Source organism: Homo sapiens, chromosome 2 (assembly GCF_000001405.40).
Source record: "Homo sapiens chromosome 2, GRCh38.p14 Primary Assembly".
Lineage (NCBI taxonomy): Eukaryota > Metazoa > Chordata > Mammalia > Primates > Hominidae > Homo > Homo sapiens.
Window position 1 is genome coordinate 158793962 of NC_000002.12, and position 22668 is coordinate 158816629.

At 40.5% G+C, this 22668-nt stretch overlaps 1 protein-coding gene across 1 annotated transcript, besides 1 other annotated feature; it reads left to right on the forward strand.

Moving 5' to 3' along the window:
* Positions 1-1355: 1355 nt before the first annotated feature.
* DAPL1 (death associated protein like 1) lies at positions 1356-22029 on the forward strand. Its single transcript, NM_001017920.3, has 4 exons — positions 1356-1469; positions 10321-10408; positions 13094-13154; positions 21744-22029. Exons 1-4 carry the CDS (start codon positions 1412-1414, stop codon positions 21858-21860), a joined length of 324 nt encoding a protein of 107 aa, NP_001017920.2. The 5' UTR covers positions 1356-1411; the 3' UTR covers positions 21861-22029.
* Positions 13058-13227: an enhancer, noted in NCBI's record as "experimental_53422 CRE fragment used in MPRA reporter constructs". NCBI's record gives its function as "activates a minimal promoter by MPRAs in K562 erythroleukemia cells, with activity observed for both the introgressed and non-introgressed 2:159663616 variant alleles {active_cell/tissue: K562}" and the evidence as "EXISTENCE:reporter gene assay evidence [ECO:0000049][PMID:34662402]".
* Positions 22030-22668: the final 639 nt, after the last annotated feature.

A 22668-nucleotide genomic window follows, 5' to 3' on the forward strand; every position in this document is an offset into this window, starting at 1 on the left:
GTTTTGTGTGTACATATGTTTTCATCACTCTTGGGAGAATTCCTAGCAATTGGATTGTTAGTCATATATAGTAAGTGTATGTTGAATTTTATAAGAAACTGTCAAACTGACTTCCAGAACACCTTTGCTTTTTTGCGTTTCCCCCAGCAATGTATGAGAGTTTCAGTTGCTCTGCGTCTTCACCAGCATTTTGTATTTTCCTTTTTTTTCTTGTCTTGAGCCATCCTAATACATATGTAGTGGTATTTTATTGTGGCTTTAATTTGCATTTCCCTAATGACTAATGATGTCGAGCATCTTTTTGTGTGATTATGTGTTGTCAATATCCTTACTTTGTAATGTTTTATTTGAATCTTTTGCCCATTTTTAATTGGGTTGTCTGCTTTCTTATTATTGAGTTGTAAGAATTCTTTATACATTCTAAATGTCGGTACTTCATCAGAAATGCATTTTACAGATATTTTCTCCCAGTTTGTAGCTTGTTTTTATTTTCTTAACAGGGTTTTTCGAAGAGCAGACAACTGCTCTTCAAGTTGTTTTTTAACTGTACTGAAGAACAAAGAAATTTTTATAAATATCTGCCACATGCTAAACTTTTATTGGCGCTGGAATTACAATAATGGCTAAGCTTAAAGTTGTATTTTTCCTTTTTAGCAAAATTGGCATTGATTGGTTTCTTGTCTACTTTTTCACTATCTTATCGTTAATATTTCTACATCATTAAATATTATTTGAAAACATGATTGTAAGGTATACTCTCACAGTGATTTCTTGATTCATCTTAACTATCCCTCTGTATTTGGAGATGTTTATCTTGATTCCCATCAATATTTTAAAAAGAAAAGAAGCATATGATTCCCATCCTTGCGCAGAAATCTCTGTATACATTTCCAATTATTTTCTTAGTATAAATGCTTATAATTGCAAAAACTGGGACAGAGGCACAGGACTTTGCTCTATACCTGTCTCTTTAGAAAGACTACAGATGTCCTGAAGCAAAGAGCTTGTCTTGGCCCCCTTGTCATGCCAGAATATGACAAAAGCCTGTTACATTGCAGGTGCACTATACACACTTGAGGGATCAACGGTTGGAGAGAAAAAGAATTCCACTGAACTCCATCCTCTCCCTTTCCTCCTGTGGAAAAAAAAGAAAGAAAAGAATATCCTGTCTCCTGCAGACATCTACCTTGCCTTCCCAGATGAAGGGAAGAAGAAAGTCTTCTTCTAAGAGAAAACTTGCCAAGGAGATGCAGGTTTCCCAGAGAGCTGGATGACAAGCCCTGTTGCTGCTCAGCAATGCCCTTAAGGGGCCCTGCCCCCTGCCTTTATAAAGCCGGTGCGGTGGTGGGGCAGCCACAGCTGGCATTCAGCCTCCAGAGCACCAGCACTGGCACTGGCACTGGCACACGCTATGGCAAATGAAGTGCAAGACCTGCTCTCCCCTCGGAAAGGGGGACATCCTCCTGCAGGTAGGCTGCCACCTGCCCTCAGTCCTGCAGGCTGTTGCTGCTCCCCTCTTCCACCAATGCCTTCCATGGAGCACCCCGACAGACGGAAGCTTCTCTGTCTACCCAGTATGACTTTAACTCCATGCAGCCTGACTTCCTCTTATGTCTTTGATCCTTCTTAGCTTGTATGTAAATCCACCCGGGGATTTGTCAGACCCCCAGTGAGTTAAAACCTAATTACCTACGGCAGTGTATGGATTTGGGGCTTGTGGAAAGGCATAGGTAGAGAGGTTGCACCTTTCCTCCCTCGAGGCAGCATTCCTTTCACGGGGCCCTGGCTGTAGATTAGCAGTGACACATCTACACCAGGAAGATGATTTGCTACCATGGAAACCTTTCTCTTTAGAGGTTCCAGCTGTAAGACTCAGTCTCCCCAAGATGCCTGTGCATCATGTGACTTCCTACCCAGGCAAAGCAGCTTCTGCACAGAGGACAACAATCACATTTCTTTCTCCCTCCTCAGGCTTTGGGGATGTATTTACCTGTCAACAAGCTGAGAAGTACTTTTAAATAAAGACACAGGACTTGAGGAGGCTGACTGGAAAAAGTAGCTGTCAAGGTGTTTGCAAAGCATCCATAGTTGTCTTTTTTTTTAATTTATGCTATCTATATTGACTCTCTGGAATATGGAAATTAGTTTTATTGTACTTAACCATATGTTCATATAGATTGGCTGAGGTGTACAGGCCTATTTTTAGTCAGTTTTATATTCTTCCAACTGCCTTCCTTCTTTTTTACTGAAGAAAGAACTCAAAAGCTTGACTGCTTTGTTCTTGCCTTTCTCCATTTACAAAAACATATTTACTGTCTAATTCTCTGGCACCTCTAGGCCAAGGTTATTTCAATAATCTTTGCTGCAGAGGGTGATGGCGGGTATTGTCTTCACAGAGAGTCAAAATGTAACATTGTTTTGGTGGCTTTCCGGCGGGTAGCCTGGCCAAAAAGAGTCCAGATTTTACTACTCATTCTGAGTTTCCAGCTCTAGACATCTTGGTCTGATCTCCTCTGGTAGATTACTGATGTTTTATATTTGTAATCAAATTTAGCAATATTTAACATTACCTATATTTAAAGTTAATTATGCTAGCTAATAGTCAGGAAGTATATATGCAAATCATTGGAAGACAGGCTCCTTACATAGACAAAGACAAAAGAAAAAAGAACTCCATTCTCATTATGTTGTTTCCACTCCAACCCTTCATAAAATGGCTAAGATGAAACCTGTTTTGCTAAACTACATTTATGCACAAAGAACACAGACATAAACTTAACCAAATGAAAGTTCGAATGAAACCACCGGGAACTTTCTGTCCCCACCACTAATGATTGCTAATTACTCTGTGTACATAGCACACCATGACTCCATCAAGCATGTCACAATGCCTCTGGCATGACAATTAATTATTATGAACTGTGACACTACAGATAAGAGGTTTTGGATAATTAGAATGGAGATGAAGGCAGACTTTTGCCTCCCCACTGAGCACAAGGGAACAAAGAAGTGTCATCCTTCAGCCTGTCTTGCCACTAATTTTAAGTCTGAATCTGTTTGTGGTGGTGCAAAATTTTATTTATGGAACAAAAACAAGTGCCAAAATTCTGTTAATTTTTCACTTGATTTTTATAAGCAAAATACAGATCCCTAAAAGTGGGAAGAAGATACGATTCGGTGGGGAGGGTGGGACATACATAGCCTTTGGAATCAGACAGACCTGGGTTTGAACCTCAACTTCATTTCACATCTTCGAGCCTGAGTTTCCTCATCTCTGAAACAGGATGCAATAAATAACATCTATCTAGTAAGTTTGTTGTAATGATTAAAAGAGATCACCTCTGTAAAGTATCTGGCACCTGAATGTTAGCCCCCTTAAAATGCAGGCCCGGTAGAACACATCACTATCAAAAGAAATTATCCTCCCCAATTTCAAGACATCCTGATGCTGGAGCGGCATTAGACACTACTGCAGTAGTTGGAACAGAAAGAAACTGCAATGGAAAAAATATGTGCCTATCCCATCACAGTTAAAAATGAAATCACTCAGCTGGGTACAGTAGCTCACGCCTGTAATCCCAGCACTTTGGGAGGCCGAGGTGGGTGGATCACCTGAGGTCAGGAGTTCAAGACCAGCCTGGCCAACATGGTGAAACTCCATCTCTATTAAAAATACAAAAATTAGCCGGGCGTGGGGCATGTGCCTGTAATCCCAGCTACTTGGGAGGCTGAGGCAGAAGAATCGCTTGAACCCAGGAGGCAGAGATTGCGGTGAGCAGAGATCACGCCACTGCACTCCAGCCTGGGCAACAAGAGTGAGACCCCGTCTGAAAAAAAAAAAAATCACTTAGAAGTCAGCCTGCTGCATCTCTTTCCTACCTATCTATGGAGCAGTCAATGGTTTCACTTTAATGTATATTAATATAATATATTGCATCTCTGATAGCCCTAGTTATACATTTATGCTGTGAAATGAGACTACATAAAACACAAGGTGGCCTGGGCTCCAGTAAGAAGAACTTGGAATTTTCTGCTTTTTTGATTTGTCTCACCCTCACTTTCAGAAGAACCCCATTATATGAACAGCAGCACCAAAAATGTGTGAGTAGAAGTTGACCCCAGGAAGCCAGATATATGATGAATAGAAAGAAGAGCAGTGGTTCATGACTTTTTCTATATTTCCTGCACTTTTTAATTGGGTCTAAGCCAAATGAATCAGAGCCATTAGAGGTGTTGCCACTGAATCCCTAAAGAGAATATGTTTTCTGACTCATTAAAGAGAGAAGGAAGTTGGAGGGGGAGTATGACCAATTGTAAAACTAATGCAGAAAATGGGGGACAACCATAAACTGCATATGGACCACGGTCATTTGAAAACCCTCACACACTCCAAAGGCTTGAATCTCTCAATTCCATCTGCTCAAGTCAACTTGGGGGCATTGGAACAGGACAGAACCATGAAGTTAGAAGAGAGAGGCTGTGAGATTCACCTCCTCCTGCCCCAGGGGACAGGGATTTGAGGACTGCAAGAACAGCTGCCATTCGCTCAATGCTGACTGCACCTGGCACAGCAAAGAGACTTCTAGACGTGGCAACAGCCCTGCAGATGGGTGATGTTTCACGGAAGAGTGAACGGAGACTCAGTGAGATTGAGGGACTTGCCGAAAGCCACACAGCTAGTGGGAAGTGGAGCTGGAATTGGAAAATGAAGCTGACCTCATGTCAAAGCCCTCTTACTCTAAAGCCTTTTCTGTTTGCTCCACAACCTTCTCTTGATGAGGGTTTTGGGGGTCTTGATTGGCAGCCTAAAATTTCCTGATAAATTAACTGTGAATGCAAAGTGAGCATTTTGCAAACATCTAAACTTTTCATTAAACCTTCAAATAGATGTTCTCATTCACAAGGCAGAGTTTGCACAAACCTTTGTGCCTTTCAGCTTTTTCACATACATTGTCCATGGATTTGTGAAGGAAAAAGCCTAATTTTTTTGCAGGCTTATGTTTATCTTCACTACTCTCTACCAAAAACTGTGAAAAAGATTGGAAAATCTTAGCTGGAAAATTATTATTTAGAATTCTAAACTAACTGATGTATTTTTAAAAATTTATAAACTACAAAAGCAGTCACAAGAGTATAATTCTCATGCAGAGATGGGAAAGCAAAGCTTCATTTTCCCCGCTTAAATTTAGGTTTTCTAGTGAAATTATCTAAAAGAGCATCTCCCTTTTTTACATTGTCTATCTCTAGTTCATCTTCATTATTGAAAGGACTGAAAGTCTTAATTTACATATTTGTACTCAACATCCTGTTAAAATGTTAAATCAGTTCATATTTTACTTTGCCCAATTCCAATTGATCTTTCTGCAAAGGTTCAAAAAGCAGGATAGTCCCAAACATGGAGTTACGTAAAGGATTACAAACTTAAATGGATCGATTTGGATACAGTGAAACTTTGAAAAGGTCTCTTGAGTCAGAGGTATCTAGTATAAGCAAAATGAGCAAGAACCTGATTGTGTTGCATTGTAAATAATGGCTTGTCTAGACCCCAGGAGATCATTGTGATCAGTGTTCCCAGCAGAGATTTTAAGATAACCCTCCCACAAACTGACCCCACCTGGTTCAGTCACCCCAGTGTAGTGACAGCCCAAATCTATATCAGTGCATCCATCTGTAGTCTAGGGATATTATCTTCCGCTTCTTTCTACTGTACATAGATGACTGAGTAAGATCAGCTACCAGAACAAGTTTGGTACAAGAACTCTGTTCTGGAAATCCAATGTGTGTTTCCCTTATGCTTCCGAAATTGCTGAGTTAGAGCCTACAGCCCTATGACAGAGACGATTTAAAGACTGCTGGATGGAAGTAGGAATCTTTATGGGGAGGACTTTTTCTTCTTCCCCCTAAAATGTCTATCTTATTGTTCCTAAGGATGAGGAATTCCCATGTTTATGGTTTAGCTGGGTGTGGTGGCGGGCACCTGTAGTCCCAGCTACTCGGGAGGCTGAGGCAGGAGAATCACTTGAACTCGGGAGGCAGAGGTTGCAGTGAGCCGAGATCGCTCCATGGCACTCCAGCCTGGCGACAGAGCGAGACTCCATCTCAAAAAAAAAAAAAAAAAAATTTGGCATTTATTTCTTTGTTAAATGCCTTATGCTCTTTCCAAAGAGAAAGAAGTGATGGATTTTTTTGAGAGGTAGATGAAAAGAGTTGAAATTATAATAAGGACTTTATAATAAACATAATCTAGTTCAACTTCCACTGAATTCCCCAAAGTTCTCCTAAGGTATTCATGACAAAAGAACTTCTTTCCTTTACTTTAATACACTGAGGTACAAAAAACTCGTTATTGTATTAGGCAATCTATATCATGTTGAATAAGACAAGCTGTTACAAGTAGCCAGACTGTACCTTTCTAGAACTCTTAGTCTTTGGTCTTCGTTCTCACCTCTGGAACCACATAAAATAAATATAAATAATAATTAGTAATTAGTAAGTGCCTACCATGCACCAGGTTCTTATGTCACCTCTATTTTCTGACAGCAATAGTCAGTATTATTCCCCATTGAAGGACGTGGAGACAGTCTGAGAGCAGTTTTAAGTGTCCTACTCACAGTCACAGAGCTTAGGAGGAATAGAGTTGTCCAACCCTACATAACATTTCCTCACCAGTAAACTGCTCCTCTGCCCTCATGACAGCCCTTCAGATCTTTGAAGATGGCTCCCTAAGTTCTCTCGCTTTGCTTCTTCAGGAGTTATCTTACTAGATTCCCTAGTTCCTCATGTAGCATGCCTGCCTTCACTCTGGTCACTCTCCTCTGAAGATTCCCAGATTATCAATGTCCTTCCAAATGAGTGGTACAGAACTCAGCATTCCAAAGATCTTCTTTTCTTTTTTTTAGACAGAATCTCACTCTGTCACCCAGGCTGGAGAGCAGTGGTGCAATCTCAGCTCCCTGCAACCTCTGCCTCCCAGGTTCAAGCAATTCTCCTGTCTCAGCCTCCCAAATAGTGGCTGGGACTACCGGCAATCGCCACCACACCCAGCTAATTTTTGTATTTTTAGTAGAGATGGGATTTCGCCCTGTTGGTCAGGCTGGTCTTGAACTCCTGACCTCAGGTGATCCACCTGCCTCGGCCTCCCAAAGTGCTGGGATTACAGGTGTGAGCCATCGCGCCCAGCCAGTTCTTCTCATCTTTAACTAAAACAATTTTGCTTCTATAGTTGGTAATAATAATTAATCCAGGTAGAAGAAAATGTGTAGGAATAATAGCATCAGGGAAAGCAAAAGGAACACTAACAAGAAAATAATTACAGCACACTATATATGAAAGGCACTTGTCATAAGGAGAATGAAAAATACTGTTGGGAGGTGTATCAAAGGCCCCAGAGCTCTTATCTGATTCTTCTTAGCATTAAGCAACAGTGCTATGAGCAGTCACCATCTCCCATACAGAGGCACACACGCCTCAAACATTCTTTGGGAAAAAGCCCATCCCTTGATTTATTTCACCTGTATTCCATGGCTATTCAGAAATGTTTCCCTATAATTTCATTTTTGTTGCAGATTACTTTGTATGCCATATGCGTGTGTATAAATAATTTATGTATATAAAGAATGTGCATATATATATATAATTTAAAGCAGATAATGTATAAAGATAGCATTTTCTGAGGCTTATATACAAAAATCAATATTTTTTAAACTTGGTAATTCAAATGACCAAATGGAGTTTATTCCATGAATGCAGGAATGGTTGAATAGTAAAACAACAGATCTTAGTGATACAAAACCCATAAGAGATTGACAAGGTCATATAAAAACAGCAAATTTCTGACTGGCAAAAACATTATCAATAAAGTCAAAAAGCAGTAACTGGTACAATATAATATTTTATATTTGCAATGTATCTCATGGAAAAATAGCTCCTATAAATCGGTAAGAAAAAGATAGGAAAAAGACTAGCAATCCAATTGAAAAGGACAAAAGATTTGAACAGCTTACAGAAAAGGAAATGCAAATGGCTTCTAAAACACAGAACCAAGCTCAACCTTTAATAAAACATGAGAAATGAGAATTAAAACAGTGATATACCTTTATCTATTTTGTAACTTACTGGCTGACAAAACCAAACACTTTGTAGCTCGCGTTGTTAACAGGGGTATGGAGGAACAACAACTGTCATCATGGCTGGTGAGATTCTAAACTGGTGCAACCTCTGCTAAGGGCAATTTGGCAAGATTTAACAAAATTCCAAACACGCATACTCTTAAGAACTAACAAGATCACTTTTAGGAATTTCCCCAACAGGTATGCTTGTATTTGTGCAAAATTATGTATCTAAAACTGTTAGGAGAGCAAGAACCTAAAAGAGCCAGAGTGACATCATTTGAAAATCACCTCCATCTTAGAATGAGCGAGGCACATTCCTTGCTAGTCACAACCCCATGATGCTAAGATGTTTACAGCTGAGGAAGCAGCTTGGTAATGCCTGCAAGAACAAACTCTTAGAACCACAGAAAGTCCAGATGGGCCAATACCCATAATGATAATGCTTTCAAGATAGTAACAGTTATGCTTTGATGTACTCACACACCAAATCGTCAAGGATGGTTTTCTTTACATCAGTAGAATAATAAATCTTGTCATGTTGTCTGCTCACCTGCATGTAGTCACAGTTTAGTCTTTACATAGACAAGACCCCTATATAAGAAAAACTGAAAAACAGTGTGTTTGTGCACTCACTTTCTGAGGACACCCTACTCTGTAATGGAATTGTTTCTAATAAACTTGCTTATTTCACTGAGCTCTGTGCCTCGCCTTGAATTTCTTCCTGTGCAAGATCCAAGAACCTTTTTTTGGATTCTGGATCAAGACACCTCTTTCTGGTAGCAAAAGGATATTCATTGCAGCATTGTTTGTGATAGCAGTAGATTAGAAACACATGAAATGTCCAACATTAGGGAACTGGTTAAGTAAACACAGGATGTTCATACAATAAAATGTTAAAGCAGATGTTAAAAAGAAAAACACACAGATGATATATAGAGATATAGATGTAGATGTAAATATAGATTTGGAACTTTCTCTAAAATATGTGATTAAGTGAAGAAAATAAACAAGATGTAGAGCAATGTGTACCTTAGGCTACCATTTTATAAAAAATAAAACCTGAGTGTATGTGTAGAATAACTGTGGATGAAGACACAGGAAGCTTATAACATTAGCAGTATCTTGGGAGATAATCTAGGAAGTTGGAAAATAATTGTAGGAGGGAGACTGCAGACCTTTTTATGGCTTTTGAATTTTGGGCCTTATGCAGATAAGATAACCAAGACAATAAATTAAGTAATAATTGTAAAGAACAATGATGAAGTCAGTTGACAAGGGCACAGAAAAATAGAATACATTTTCTTTATTTTTCACTTTATTGGACCACAGTTTTAGAAAATCGCCAATCTGGCATTTTCATAAAAAGAATTAACAGGCTCAAACAAATCAATGTCCATTTAGCTTTTTCTCATTTGAGCTTGTCAGATTTTAGATGTGCAAATTTCCTGGGAACAGAAAAAAAGCATTTGCTTTGACTTGCTATCTTGAAATGGGTTGTTCCTTTTCAAAAGTTGATTTCATCTGACATTGTTAAACACTTGAATTGCTGTTAGGTCATCTGTAGCCTAATTAACACTAATTGATCACTTGAATGGCAGGATTATTAATGCAGTTTAATTACTCATTAGAACATCTGAGCTTGGCCAACACCGGAGTTTTGGGGTCTGGATGGAAGGTGGGTATCTGGTAGAATCAGAACCATCTCTGTTGAATTAAATGCCTTTTATCACTGTGTGCCCTGACTTTTGGCTCATCTCTCAGAATCTGGCTTTTGAAAGCTTTGGTTGGAAAAAAAAATGCAAGCCACGCACAACTTTAATCTGGTGGGAAAACAGAGGGTCACGTTGTAATTGTCGGTTGCTATTGTGGGGAATGTAATTGGTTTGATAATAAGAAAAAATGTTTTTCAGTGAAATGCCTAAGGGAGTATGTTGTTATTCTCCTCCCCAAATCTAAGGTGTAACCTCTGCTTTTTCAGTCTTGGTTCCACTTCTCTGAGCATAAACAAGTAGCTCTCAGCCCTTCCTCCACCCACACCTGGTTTGCCAATAAAATATATATATTTTTTATTGTGTTGTTTTATACAAACGTTTAGATCTTTAAAAAATAAGTTCAAAAATTATTTTCAAATCTAAAGTCATACCTTTAATAACAAAGCAAGCCTTCTCTCACTGTTCTAACTTCCATGCTGATTTTTATCTGTTTGTAGTAAAAGCTGGAGGAATGAGAATTTCCAAAAAACAAGAAATTGGCACCTTGGAAAGACATACCAAAAAAACAGGATTCGAGAAAACAAGGTAGGGACTCTTAATTTTTCTCCATCACCTTGAGGAGTTTTGAGTGACTCTGCCTCCAGGAGTTATTTTAGGACAAACCAAGGCTCCCTATGCCTTTGGAGGCAGCCAGAGAAGGGGGCAGGAGGGGGAGGGCGTGATCCGTGGTGACTTAGGGTGAGGGGTGGGGAAAGGTAGGTGGCTACCCTCTGGAGGGATCCCTCTGAGAGGGCTCCCATCACGACCCCCACCCATTCTCCTCCTGTCTGCATCCAGCCCAGCGGCCTTGCACTTAATAGGCACAGGCCTAAATGCATCCAAACCTGACACACATCCTTTTATCCTATTTTCAGATCAGCCTTTAAAATATTGTTCCTAGGCTGGCCCTGTTTTCATAATATGCTTTCTGCTGAAGTAAATGTCCTGAATTAAAAATAAATGTCTTTTTTGTTTTAAACCCATCACTGAATTATTTAGAAAGTAATGGCCACTATATTTGGCATAGCCAGAAACACATAGGTACCGAGCAGCCTCCCCGCTGCTCCTTCCACCATAACATTGACGCCTGCCCTATTCTCAGAACTCAGCAGAGAGCTGTGGGCTGGATCAGGTAAGCAAATGGCCCAACCAGTCTAGGCCTTGGGTAAGGAAAACCAGAGCATTCCAAAAAACAAGAAACACGCAGAACTGTTTCTTTCTGAGGAGTGCTTCAGAGACTATTAATTTTGAAATGGTTTCCACAGATCAGTTGATGAGTAATTCAAAAGGATCTGAGTAGAGGATGCTCCAGGCACCTCCATAAGAGTTAAACCATATCAGAAAGAGAATGGAAATAGACTGTGGCACTTCTTTGACTCTTTTCTATAAAATTATTTTTAAATCACTTTTAAAGATTGCTTCCTAATTTCTGGGAAGACATTTTTTGAGGATTTGCCTCCCTCCACTTTAGAATGAAATACTGATTCGCTCCATTAGCAGCAAGTCATTTGTTATTTCTGATATCAGAAACTAACCATCACATGACAAAAGGGAAGCTGTGCGTCCTCAAGAGTGGAGGTCACACGTTATTTTTCTTCTGACCCAGCATCTAGGACAGTTCCTAGAATAGTGAATGCATTCTGTAAATGATATCAGACTGCGATTGAATTGCAAGCTGATTAACTTTGAGACCTATTCATTCTGTATCTAAAACCTGAGTCAAGCATGTGCCCTGCTTATTGTGACATTAGTTAACCTGCCTGAGCCAGTGGCTCAGGAACTAAAGTGTCTTATCTTGGAAATGACTTACTAGTGGACAGCCAAAGGACAGGTCATTCATTTCTCTGCATCTCAGAAAAATGGGACTTACTATTAATTCTAACATCCACTGAACAATGCAGGCAGGGGAGTTGGCTAGAGAGTAATAAGATGGTGATTGGAATCTTCTTTAAAAACTCAATTGTTTTCTAATAGTCGTTAAATGACAGGAATTGGACTTTTACAGAACTTAAACAGCAAAAGATAGCTCTTGCCCTAAGTACCAGGGACAGAAACAGGTTATGCGGAGCTTGAATCTTATGGACTTTCAGGGCCATTTTAAAAGAAAAATAACCAAAAATGACCGATATGAAATGGGTAGGGCCCCTCCCAGGGCCTTGGGAGGAGCCACTGTGGCAGGAGACCCTAGGCTTAAATATCATTAGCTCCACATATATCCCCCTCTGCTATTTACATCTCCTAGCAGGGCATGTGCACAGGATAGGAAAGCCTTGTTTTCATGGACAAACACTCCTTTGTATGTCATCTTAGAGAATAGCTTTTTAAAAATATGCTCTAGACCAGAATTTTCCAAACATCATCAATCCATGTCCACTTCCTAATAGCTTCTACAAACCAACACAAACCATCCAGAAAAAAAAAAATATGCCAAGTGCAGAGTTTCTTCAAGACATTGTACTGTAGATTTGGCCCTGATTGAAACTCTCCTACAAAATAACTTGGCCTGAGAGAAAGAAGCCAGATGCAAAAGAGTACAAGCTGTAGACGGTTCATTTTACGAAGCACAAAAACAGTCAAAACTAGTCTTTGGGGCTATAAATGAGGATAGCAGTTATCCTTAGGGGCAGCTGGTTTGACTAGTGGTTTCAATTTTATTCAATCTATATGCTTATAGCATGTGCATGTTTCTGTATGTATATCATATTTCAATAAAAAGGTAAAAAAAAAATGGCTAGGCACAGTGGCTCACACCTGTAATCTCAGTACTTTGGGAGGCTGAGGCGAGTGGATCACCTGAGGTCAGGAGTTCAAGACCAGCCTGGCTAACATGGTGAAACCCCATTTCTACTAAAAATACAAAAAATTAACCAGGCATGGTGGTGCATGCCTGTAATCCCAGCTACTTGGGAGGCTGAGGCAGAAGAATCGCTTGAACCCAGGAGGCAGAGGTTGCAGTGAGCCGAGATCATACCATTGCACTCCAGCTTGGGCAACAAGAGCGAAACTGTGTCTCAGAAAAAAAAAAATAATAATAATAATAATAATAATTTGGCCTGCAAAGCTTGTTGTGTGTAGCACATAGGTACACAGAGGCAAAATCTGTGTCTTCTAGATGTTCCTAAGCAAAGTGAAAGCATAAAAGGCTGGAGAGACAGCCCTCTATAAATCATGTGGCCTTTTCAGTGGGAAAATTTTTTAAGTCCTGTTCAAAGTTTCTTTTCATCTTCACAGTGCCATTGCAAATGTTGCCAAAATACAGACACTGGATGCCCTGAATGACGCACTGGAGAAGGTGAGCCGTGGGCAAATCACATAGCGCTCCAAGTCAATCTGCCCAGTGGATCCAGCTGCATGGGTGAATGAGCGGATGACCACTGAGGTTTTTTCCAACCCAGAGGTTTGAGGTCCTTGTGAAAGAATTTGTTCTCTGTCAGAGGAACACAAAGTGATTTGAGTGGGAAAAGCTGCTTCTCTCAAATTCCTAAAGTGTCCATTTAATAAATCATTTCAAAAATAAGATAAGAAAGTGGGAATCATGATGGTGAGTTTGCAGAATGGTACTTTGCCATCCCAAATATTTCTTGGAAACATTGGCATGTTTTTATAAAAGGCAGCCTGTGGAGTGGGGCTTCAGTGGTTTTTGACCTTCCTCCCTGCCCCTGTGTTCCTATAAGGAGATATTGATTTGAGGAGAGGGTGGGTGGTAGAGGGTTGCATGGTCTAGGGTTGGAGGAAGGCTGGGTACCAGCTGGGTTTACCCAGTGAAGTCTGCTTATAAAGGTAGTTGACCAGGACTATTTTTATTTCTATATTCTGAATTCCTTCTTTTCTTTTTTTCTTTGAGACAGAGTTTCGCTCTTTTTGCCCAGGCTGGAAAGCAATGGAGCGATCTCAGCTCACTGCAACCTCCACCTCCCGGGTTCAAGTGGTTCTCCTGCCTCAGCCTCCCGAGTAGCTGGGATTACAGGCATGTACCACCACCCCCAGTTAATTTTGTATTTTAATAGAGACAGGATTTCACCATGTTGGCTAGGCTGATCTCGAACTCCTGACCTCAGGCCATCCGGCCACCTCGACCTCCCAAAGTGCTGAGATTACAGGTGTGAGCCACCTCACCCAGCCATATGTCCTGAATTCCTTCTAGGTAGTTCTAGAAACTCAGAAAACTCTTACCAAGTAGACAGTGGTTTGGTTTTCCGGATTGAAAAGTTTGTTTTCAAATTTTGTAGGTGAGCTGAGTGAGGGCCCTTATTCTATGTCTAGTAGGCAGGTACATTACAGTCAAGGTAATATAGAGCCACTCTTTCTGCTACTGCCATGTTTATGGAAGGCGTTGGACAAAGTGTCCTCTGTAGAAGGAAGACTTGCTGTTGCAGCCAAAATCAGATGCCTGAGGACCACCAGCTCAGCCTTTGAAAAAGATTAGTGCAGCTGGCCTCCTGGAACCCCATTTGGCACTGGCTTCATCACCATCTATATGGCCTTGAGCAAGTTATTTATCCTGTGGTTCAGTTACATGTGTGTATAATGGAGGTAAGGAAGAGTGCACAGCTTATAGGGTTGTTACGTGGAGACAATGAGCTCACATACATGAAGGTCTTGGAAGAGTCTCAGCACAGAGTAACCTCTTTGCACTCTGTCAGGGATCGTAGTATTGGTTTTTATGACAGTGAAATAAGACAGTATATCTAAAGTCCATGATGTTACAGGGTAGATTGCACAAGGTAAGATCTTGATGATGAGCCATAGCTACAGAGCCTTCTCACATGGGAGCCTTGGTTCTCCACTCAGGTCGATTTAGGGTGAAGTCATAAGTGACTCTCTGCCTTCCTGGCTTCAGAGGCAGGGCTGGTGCATGACACCCTGTAACATAAGCTGCCTGCTCCCACATCTTATATTCTCTTGCTCCCGCCCACTAAACACCACTTCCTTAGGGCAAGGGAATGCTCACAGTTGTAAGTGGATAGGATAGAATAGACATGTTCCCCTAAAATATTTGTTAACTCGAAATAAAGTATTGAAAAGGAATGGTCAATAAAGGTTGGTCATGCTGTGTATTAGGTATGATGCCAGAGTTTACGTTCTGTTCTTATAGACATGTGATATGCTTATGTCTTTGACATATCACCTCTTTATTTCAAAGGTAAAAAGAATAATCTCTTCCCTAAGTAACAATACTTAACAACAATAATCAGTTGTATTTGGAAACCATAAGAGAACATTGAGATGGTGTGCTGTTAGAAATATTTTTAACAGGCCAGGCACGGTGGCTCACGCCTGTAATCCCAGCACTTTGCGAGGCTGATGTGGGCGGATCACAAGTCAGGAGTTCAAGACCAGCCTGGCCAATATGGTGAAACTCCATCTCTACTGAAAATACAAAAATTAGCCTGGCGTGGTGGCAGGTACCTGTAATCCCAGCTACTCAGGAGGCTGAGGCAGGAGAATTGCTTGAACCCGGGAGGTGGAGGTTGCAGTGAGCCGAGATCACGCCACTGCACTCCAGCCTGGGTGACAGAGCGAGACTCCATCTCAAAAAAAAAAAGAAATATTTTTAACAGAAACTATACCTATTTTTTAAAATATACCTTTGTGCTCAGCTCAGTGTTTAGTGGAGTAGGACTGTGGCTAAGATTGCACGGGTTACTGGTTAGGAGAGCAGGTCCTGGCATCAGCCATAGGCTGCCGGGTTCCTGTGTTGGCTGTGTCTCTTACTAGCTTTTTGTCCTGGGGCAGGTTTCTTCACTTTTTTGTGCTCCTCTTTCCTTATCTGTAAATGGGAGTGTGAGTACCAGTATCTACTTCATAGGGACATGTTGAGAGTAAAATGAAGTTACATAATACATGCGCAGTGCTAGGATACTTAGCCCTCAGCAAGTGATATCTTCTGTTCCCAGGCCTGCATCCTGCCTTCACTTGGAATCCCAGGTAAAGCGTAAGGCACCAGCAACAAAAATAAGCTCCAAGATTACCATAAGGGACTATCTCAAAAACGAACATTGGTAGAATCCATGTGTTTCCATATAGCTAAGAAAAATCTCACCGAATCCATCATTCAACCTGAAACCTAGTAAGATTTCACAATAAAGGTCAACCTGGGGTTGACACCTGCTGACCACTAGATCTACCAAGATCAGCAGTTGTGTGGGACTGAGTAGGAGGATTGATTACAAATGACCAGAGGAAATTTGGGGGAATGATGGGATGGTTACTCATCTTGATTGTGGTTGTAGTCACAAACTGTATGTACTTGTCAAGACTCATAAAGCAGCACATGAAAAAGCGTAAATTTTACTGTAGGTAAGTACTTTGATTTTTAAAACAGAATAGCCATGCTGCATAAACTATACAGGGTGATTCAAAAAATATATGAATCGATATATAAAAGATACAGACATACAGGTATCTTTTAATACATTTTTCCTGCACTACAATGATTCTCCTCACGGTATGTATTGCCACAGAGACCTAACAATATACAGCTGGTCAGAATAAATGCAGTGGCAGAATTGAGAGTCACATCCTCTGCATTTATTAACATGCATTCATGCCCTCAGTTACACTCATGTCTAGTCCCAAGAACCCATGTTATTTCTCATACTTATTTTAAGAAATTAAGTCTCTAAAGAAACTCCTCTCCATAGGAACTCATCAACCATTCAACCATGGCAGGAAAATTCTCTCTGTATGCTACTCATCTCTGAATTCCTACTTCAAAATCAACATGGGGTTTAAGATTTTGGAGATTGAAAAATAGTCCCCGAAGGGCTGGAATTGTGTAAATCAAAGTGGGAAGCAGCCTAGAATCTACCCCCACAGTATTTCCCCACCTCTCCCCTCCACACAGCCTGCTTTCTCCCACCCTACCTCATTTCTGCTTTCCTCCTCACTCTCCAGCCAGCCTTCCCCACCTCTTGAAGCCCTCAATAAGAGAATTCATGTTGCCCAGTGGCAGAACACAAGACATGGTATTCCTGCAGAAAACAGGCTGTGTAGCCCAAAAGCTCTTTAGGCTAGAAATCTGGGAGACCTGGTCTTAGATCAAGTTCCACCCACTACTTAGAAGTTATTTGACCTTTTAGATGTCACGTAACTCCTCTGGGATTTGTGCTCGTTCATTTACTTTTAAAAAATTATTTTAAGGCAGGGAGTGAACAAGAATGATACTGCCAAATATATTAATCCTCTGGACAGTCATGGCAATAAATTTGGCAATAGTTGTGAAACTTCTCAGAACATAAAAGTATCCAGTTAAAACATCCATAATGGGGTTGCGTTATGGTGTGGAGGGGGAAATGCTGAAGCCTGGTTAAAGTTGGGGCTACTTTTCTCAAGCTGCCAGACTTTGGGTCACCACTGCCAAAGCCAGTGAGATGTATGTGAAATGGGATCCTGAGGGAGAGAAAACTATAAAAGGCATCGCAAATTTTAAAAGGCTTCTCTTGTTCTGTAGATTAATATCACTGTAGGAGTATCCTTGAATTTCATTGACGAGAGCTGAATGTTTTGTTTTAAGCAGTTTGCTTAACAGGGTGTGGAAATTTAAGTGCCAATATTCGAGTTGGAAGTTAACACCCTGGAAAGATGAATGAAAGTGCTGCCAGTCTGCTAATACTACCCAACTTCAGGCTCTAAAACAAAACCTGCAGCTGATTTTCTTGCGTCTAGAATTTCAGGGCTCTCTAGTCATAAAGACCTCTATCACACTTCTTTTGCTTTTTCTCTGAAATGAAAAATATAGGTTCTGAGGTCGCAGCTACCCAAGATGAAGGTAAATTCTCAATGTGGAAGTTTCTATTGATCCACTTTCTAAGTTCAATATGTTGCCCCTGTAATGGAGCCACAGCAAGGCAGGATCCTTGTACATATACTGGCTTTGAATTCTTTCTCTCGTGGGGTTACCCTAGATTCTCTTACCCTAATGAATGAGACAAGAAACACCTTTTATTCTACAAATACTATCATTTTACAAAGACTAATGATGAAAATTCCACAGCTTCCCCGAAGTTAAAATGTCAGACTAAAACACAGCTGGCTGTAGCTTATACTCTGGAAAGCTGTTTCTACTTATTTGTAGTTTAGAGTTGAAAATAAACTTTTCCTATCTCCATTGATATAAAATCTACCACAAAGAATTAGTACATTTAGGAGCTGACCATTTTACCGACAGTTTCATCAATTCTGATGAAGATCCTTTATAGACTCTCCACCCATAGCCCCAAGTCCTACATCAGGATGCCCCTGACTGAGGCAGGTAGGGAGATGAGAAGGAGAACTTGACTTTCCTGTTATCATATTTTCAAGTTGCTATGAAACCCTGCTCTGGGCACCCCAAAAGCTGTACACTTGTAGCTTAACAATTATGGGCAGTTTCTCTATTATCTTTGCCAGAATTATTCCTACTTTTTTCTCAATCCTGTTGATTTTCTTTTCTTCTCTAAAACTTTCCAGATCAGTTCAGATGGCCATTGGGCCACAGGGGCTGACTTTGTTTCCCAAATATTCTGATCTGTGGCATTCCTCTTCTGAGAAGTAGTTGAGCAGTGCTTTTAGAACTTCGGTTGAATGCCTCAGTTAAAATGTAACCCTTAACACTTCTGTATTGCTGGTGGGAATGTAAAATGATCCAGCTGCTGTGGAAAACAATACAGTGGTTCCTCAAAAAATAAATATAGAATTGCCATATCAGGCTGGACGCAGTGGCTCATAACTAGAATCCTAGCACTTTGGGAGGCCAAGGCAGGAGAATTGCTTGAGCTCAGGAGTTCGAGACCAGCCTGGGCAACATAGAAAGACCTTGTGTCTACTAAAAATATAAAAAATTAGACCAGCATGGTGGCACATGCCTGAGGTCCCAGTTACTCAGGAGGCTGAGGCAAGAGGACCACTTGAGCCCGGGAGTTCAATGTTGCAGGGAGCAGAGATCACACCCCTACACTCCAGTCTGGGTGACAGAGCAAAACCTCAGCTCAAAAAAAAAAAAAAAGCAAAGAGAAAGAGAGAGAATTGCTGTATGATCCAGCAATTCCACTTCTTCCAATATAATCTTCCCATATATTGGAAGAATTGAAAGTAGGGACTCAGAACAGATATTTGTACACCAATATTCATAGCTGCATCATTCACAATAGCCAAAAGATGAAGAGATCCTAACCAAGTATTCATCAATGGATGAATGGATAGAAAAAACGTGGTATATATATATACAATGGAATATTATTTAACCTTACAAAAGAAAGAAATCTCAACACATACAGTAACATGGATGGACCTTGAAGACATTATGCTAAGTGAAATAAGCCAGACACAAAAGGACAAATATTGAATGATTCTACCTATGGGAGGTACCCAAAGTAGTCAGATTCATAGTTATAGAAAGTAGAATGGTGGTTGCCAGGGGCTTGGAGGAGGAGGGAATGGAGAATTACTGTTTAATTGGTACCGAGTCTCAGTTTAGGATGATGAAAAAGTTCTGGAGGTGGATGGTGTTGATAGCTGTGCAATAATGTGAATGTATTTAGCACCACTGGACTAACTGTACACACACTTTAAAATGGTTAAAATGGCAAGTTTTATGTTTTGTATATCTTAGCACAATTTTTTTATATGCCCAAACGATGTAGCCTCTAAATTGTGGAGATCACCCTGGAGGTGATCAAATAACAAATTAGTGCCCAACTAAGCAGCAAATATCTTCTATCACTTATTCTAACACTACTCTCCTTTCCTTTTTCTTTTTTTTTTTTTTTTGAGATGGAGTCTTGCTCTGTCGCCCAGGCTGGAGTGCAGTGACCCGATCTCGGCTCACTGCAACCTCCGCCTCCTGGGTTCATGCCATTCTCCTGCCTCAGCCTCCAGAGTAGCTGGGACTACAGTCGCTCGCCACCATGCCCGGCTAATTTTTCATATTTTTAGTAGAGATGGGGTTTCACCGTGTTAGCCAGGATGGTCTCGATCGCCTGACCTCATGATCCGCCCGCCTTGGCCTCCCAAAGTGCTGGGATTGCAGGTGTGGGCCACCGAGCCCGGCCTCCTTTCCTTTTTCTTTTCCTACCTCCACCCATCATCTCTTTCACACTTAAGAACAACAATCAACATGTGGCTTTCTTTGTTTCAGTCCCAACTTGTCCTCTTACCCTCCCTTACCTTGGCTAATTGCCCAAATTTCTGTTATATCAGAGTTTTTTTGTTTGTTTGCCTTCTCACCCACTTTTACCTTAACTGACTTGTCACATTTTTCTTCCTACCTGCAATCTCTCAAATATGATTTAAAGCTAACCTGAAATAATTCATCTATTTTAGTTAAGACTAAAGACACACAGTCTGGAAGTAAACTACTGAAGTCAGTGACCTCTTAAATTTCCTTCTGGATCTAATGTTGAAAGAAAACCAAAGCAAAACAAAACATTCTGCCCTTAACACATTGTAAAATGCATGTCATATGGTCTGATGATAACTGACCTGACAAAAAAAAAAGTCATCAGGTCTTTTTTAGACTCTAATGCAACATTTATGATCAATATCTCAATTGTGTTTTGTTTCCATTCTGCTAGAATGTTGGCAGAGATAATCCTTGGGCTTAATTTTTGTATAACTTGTACCTGCTCATTGTAAAAGAAAAAAAATTTAGTACTGATAAATAAAGTGAAGAAAAAGAGAGGCATTGCCCATAATTCTATCCCCCAGAGGTAACCATTGCTAACACTTCAGTGTATTTTCTTCCAGTGTGTTTAATTTTTTAAAACCAAGAAGAAAGGACTTTTTGGAGTCACATTTCGTATGAAAGGGACTGCTGAGTGCCTAGGGCCTGGGCAGAGACATTTGAGAAGAGATGTAAGGCACATATGTTTTCCCTGGCTTAGAAGAGCCCAAACAAACCATGAACAGTATGATGGCTAGGGTCATGAACAGTTTATCTCCCCTTTTATTTAATTTGAGTGCCAAGGCAAGGGCATCTAAGTTCAATAGTGATAAGTTAAATTCCTACTGAGCTGAGGCATTCCTTCCTTGCTGGCCAAGGGAGGTTTCTTTAGGTACTTTTACATATTGATGGGCTTGGAAACCAAGAACTAGCATGGACCCAAAAGGTCACTGTGTCCAAATTCTCCTCCTAGGAAAACCATGTCTGAAGTGGTCAGCAGCATTGGGCATGCTTTCTATCTTAAGCTATCATTAATGTAAATTCCACAAGGTCTCTGGGTTGCATATGAAATGTCTCTTATTGTCAGAAAGTCTCAGCCTGTGTTAATAAGCCTATTTAAGCTTATTTACTCATAGATGTCTTCTGTGGAGAAGACTAATCAGAACTTTTGTTCCCTGAGGCTAGTAGGCCATCCCTCAGCCTTCTCTTCACTGGGCTATTTAGATTGAACCATATGGAATGGCCAATATCACATCATTTTTGACCTGAAAAAATAGCAAATGTACACACTTAGACCTAATAAATAACCCTAACTCTTCTTAACTTCTTTCAGAGGTTCTTTCTTTCTTTTGACAATTGAGGAGTTTTTCGTCCCCACTCTGGACCTTCTCCAATGTCCCTGTAGCCTTCTTAGAATTCAGTGATTCATAGATGCATACTAGTGCCAGAATAATTGCTAACAACACAGAGAACTGATGCAGACATAATTAACCATTCCTACTTTTTAAAATGTCAATTGGAATTTTTTAAAATTAAGGACAGTAAATGAGAGAAGACCCAGGTTAAAACATACTCCCATGGGTTTAGGGCTAGAAATAGTATGGAAAAAAAGAGATATTATCAAATAAATAAACAAAATTGTGAGATTCCCTTGATCAACGATATCACTTTCTACTAGTTTAATATTTCATGACCAAGAAGATCCAATATGCCTATTTTTTCTTCCCTTCTCACCTTTAGCTCAACTATAAATTTCCAGCAACAGTGCACATGGCGCATCAAAAACCCACACCTGCTCTGGAAAAGGTTGTTCCACTGAAAAGGATCTACATTATTCAGCAGCCTCGAAAATGTTAAGCCTGGATTTAAAACACAGCCGTCTGGCCAGCTGCCTCGAATATCTGACAGCTTAGCAAAAAGGGCCAAAGCTTTCCATAGGCGTGCTGCACTTGCTTGGTAAATTAAGCAGCTTTTGTATCTTCCCCTTTGACTTTAGGTAATAAAGCATCCAAACTTGTAAATCTGACACATCCCTGTGCCTCTTTTTGGTCCAGGTCAGAATCCCATTGATGTTTGCATATGTAATTCTGTAGATTAAGTGAAGCATCCAGAATACCTGACTGTTCCATCCACCTCCCTACATAAGCACTCTTCTTGACGCTGACCCTGAATTGTTCTACCCTCATTGAGTTCTCCTTGAAGGCAGAGGTTGGAGAGGAGTAGACTGGGCTTGGCAAAGGCCAATATCCAATGCAAACATAAGGAGTGACTCTTCTCAGTTTGTTTGTCTAAGGATGTTCAAGTTTTCACTTGAGGCGAAATGTCTTTTCCAGTTTCCCACATAAGTACATAGTTTGTTTTCAAGGCTCAGTGTGGGAAAATGAAAAATTAAATTGATTACAAACATATTATTTTCTGCCAAGCAATCAAGGACAGAAGGTAGAATTATAGCTTCAGTGGGAGAGTTGCTCAGGGCCTTCCAGAAAGCTCCAGAACAGGGCATTGTCGTTGGGCTACAGAAGTTATTTTCACTGGAGATGGTGTGGGAGAGAGAGTATTGCCATAACTAAGCATGCACTAGCTCTTCTCCCCTCTACCACACACACACACACACACACACACACACACACACACACACTTCATGAATTCACATGTAAACAGTCAA

What these genes read in the sequence shown, in the direction of transcription:
- DAPL1 (NM_001017920.3), top strand. Translation starts at nt 1,412, where the DNA reads ATGGCAAATGAAGTGCAAGACCTGCTCTCCCCTCGGAAAGGGGGACAT. An exon ending in AGGGGGACATCCTCCTGCAG is followed by an intron (nt 1,470 to 10,320) that starts GTAGGCTGCCAC and finishes ATCTGTTTGTAG; the next exon opens with TAAAAGCTGGAGGAATGAGA. An exon ending in ACAGGATTCGAGAAAACAAG is followed by an intron (nt 10,409 to 13,093) that starts GTAGGGACTCTT and finishes TCATCTTCACAG; the next exon opens with TGCCATTGCAAATGTTGCCA.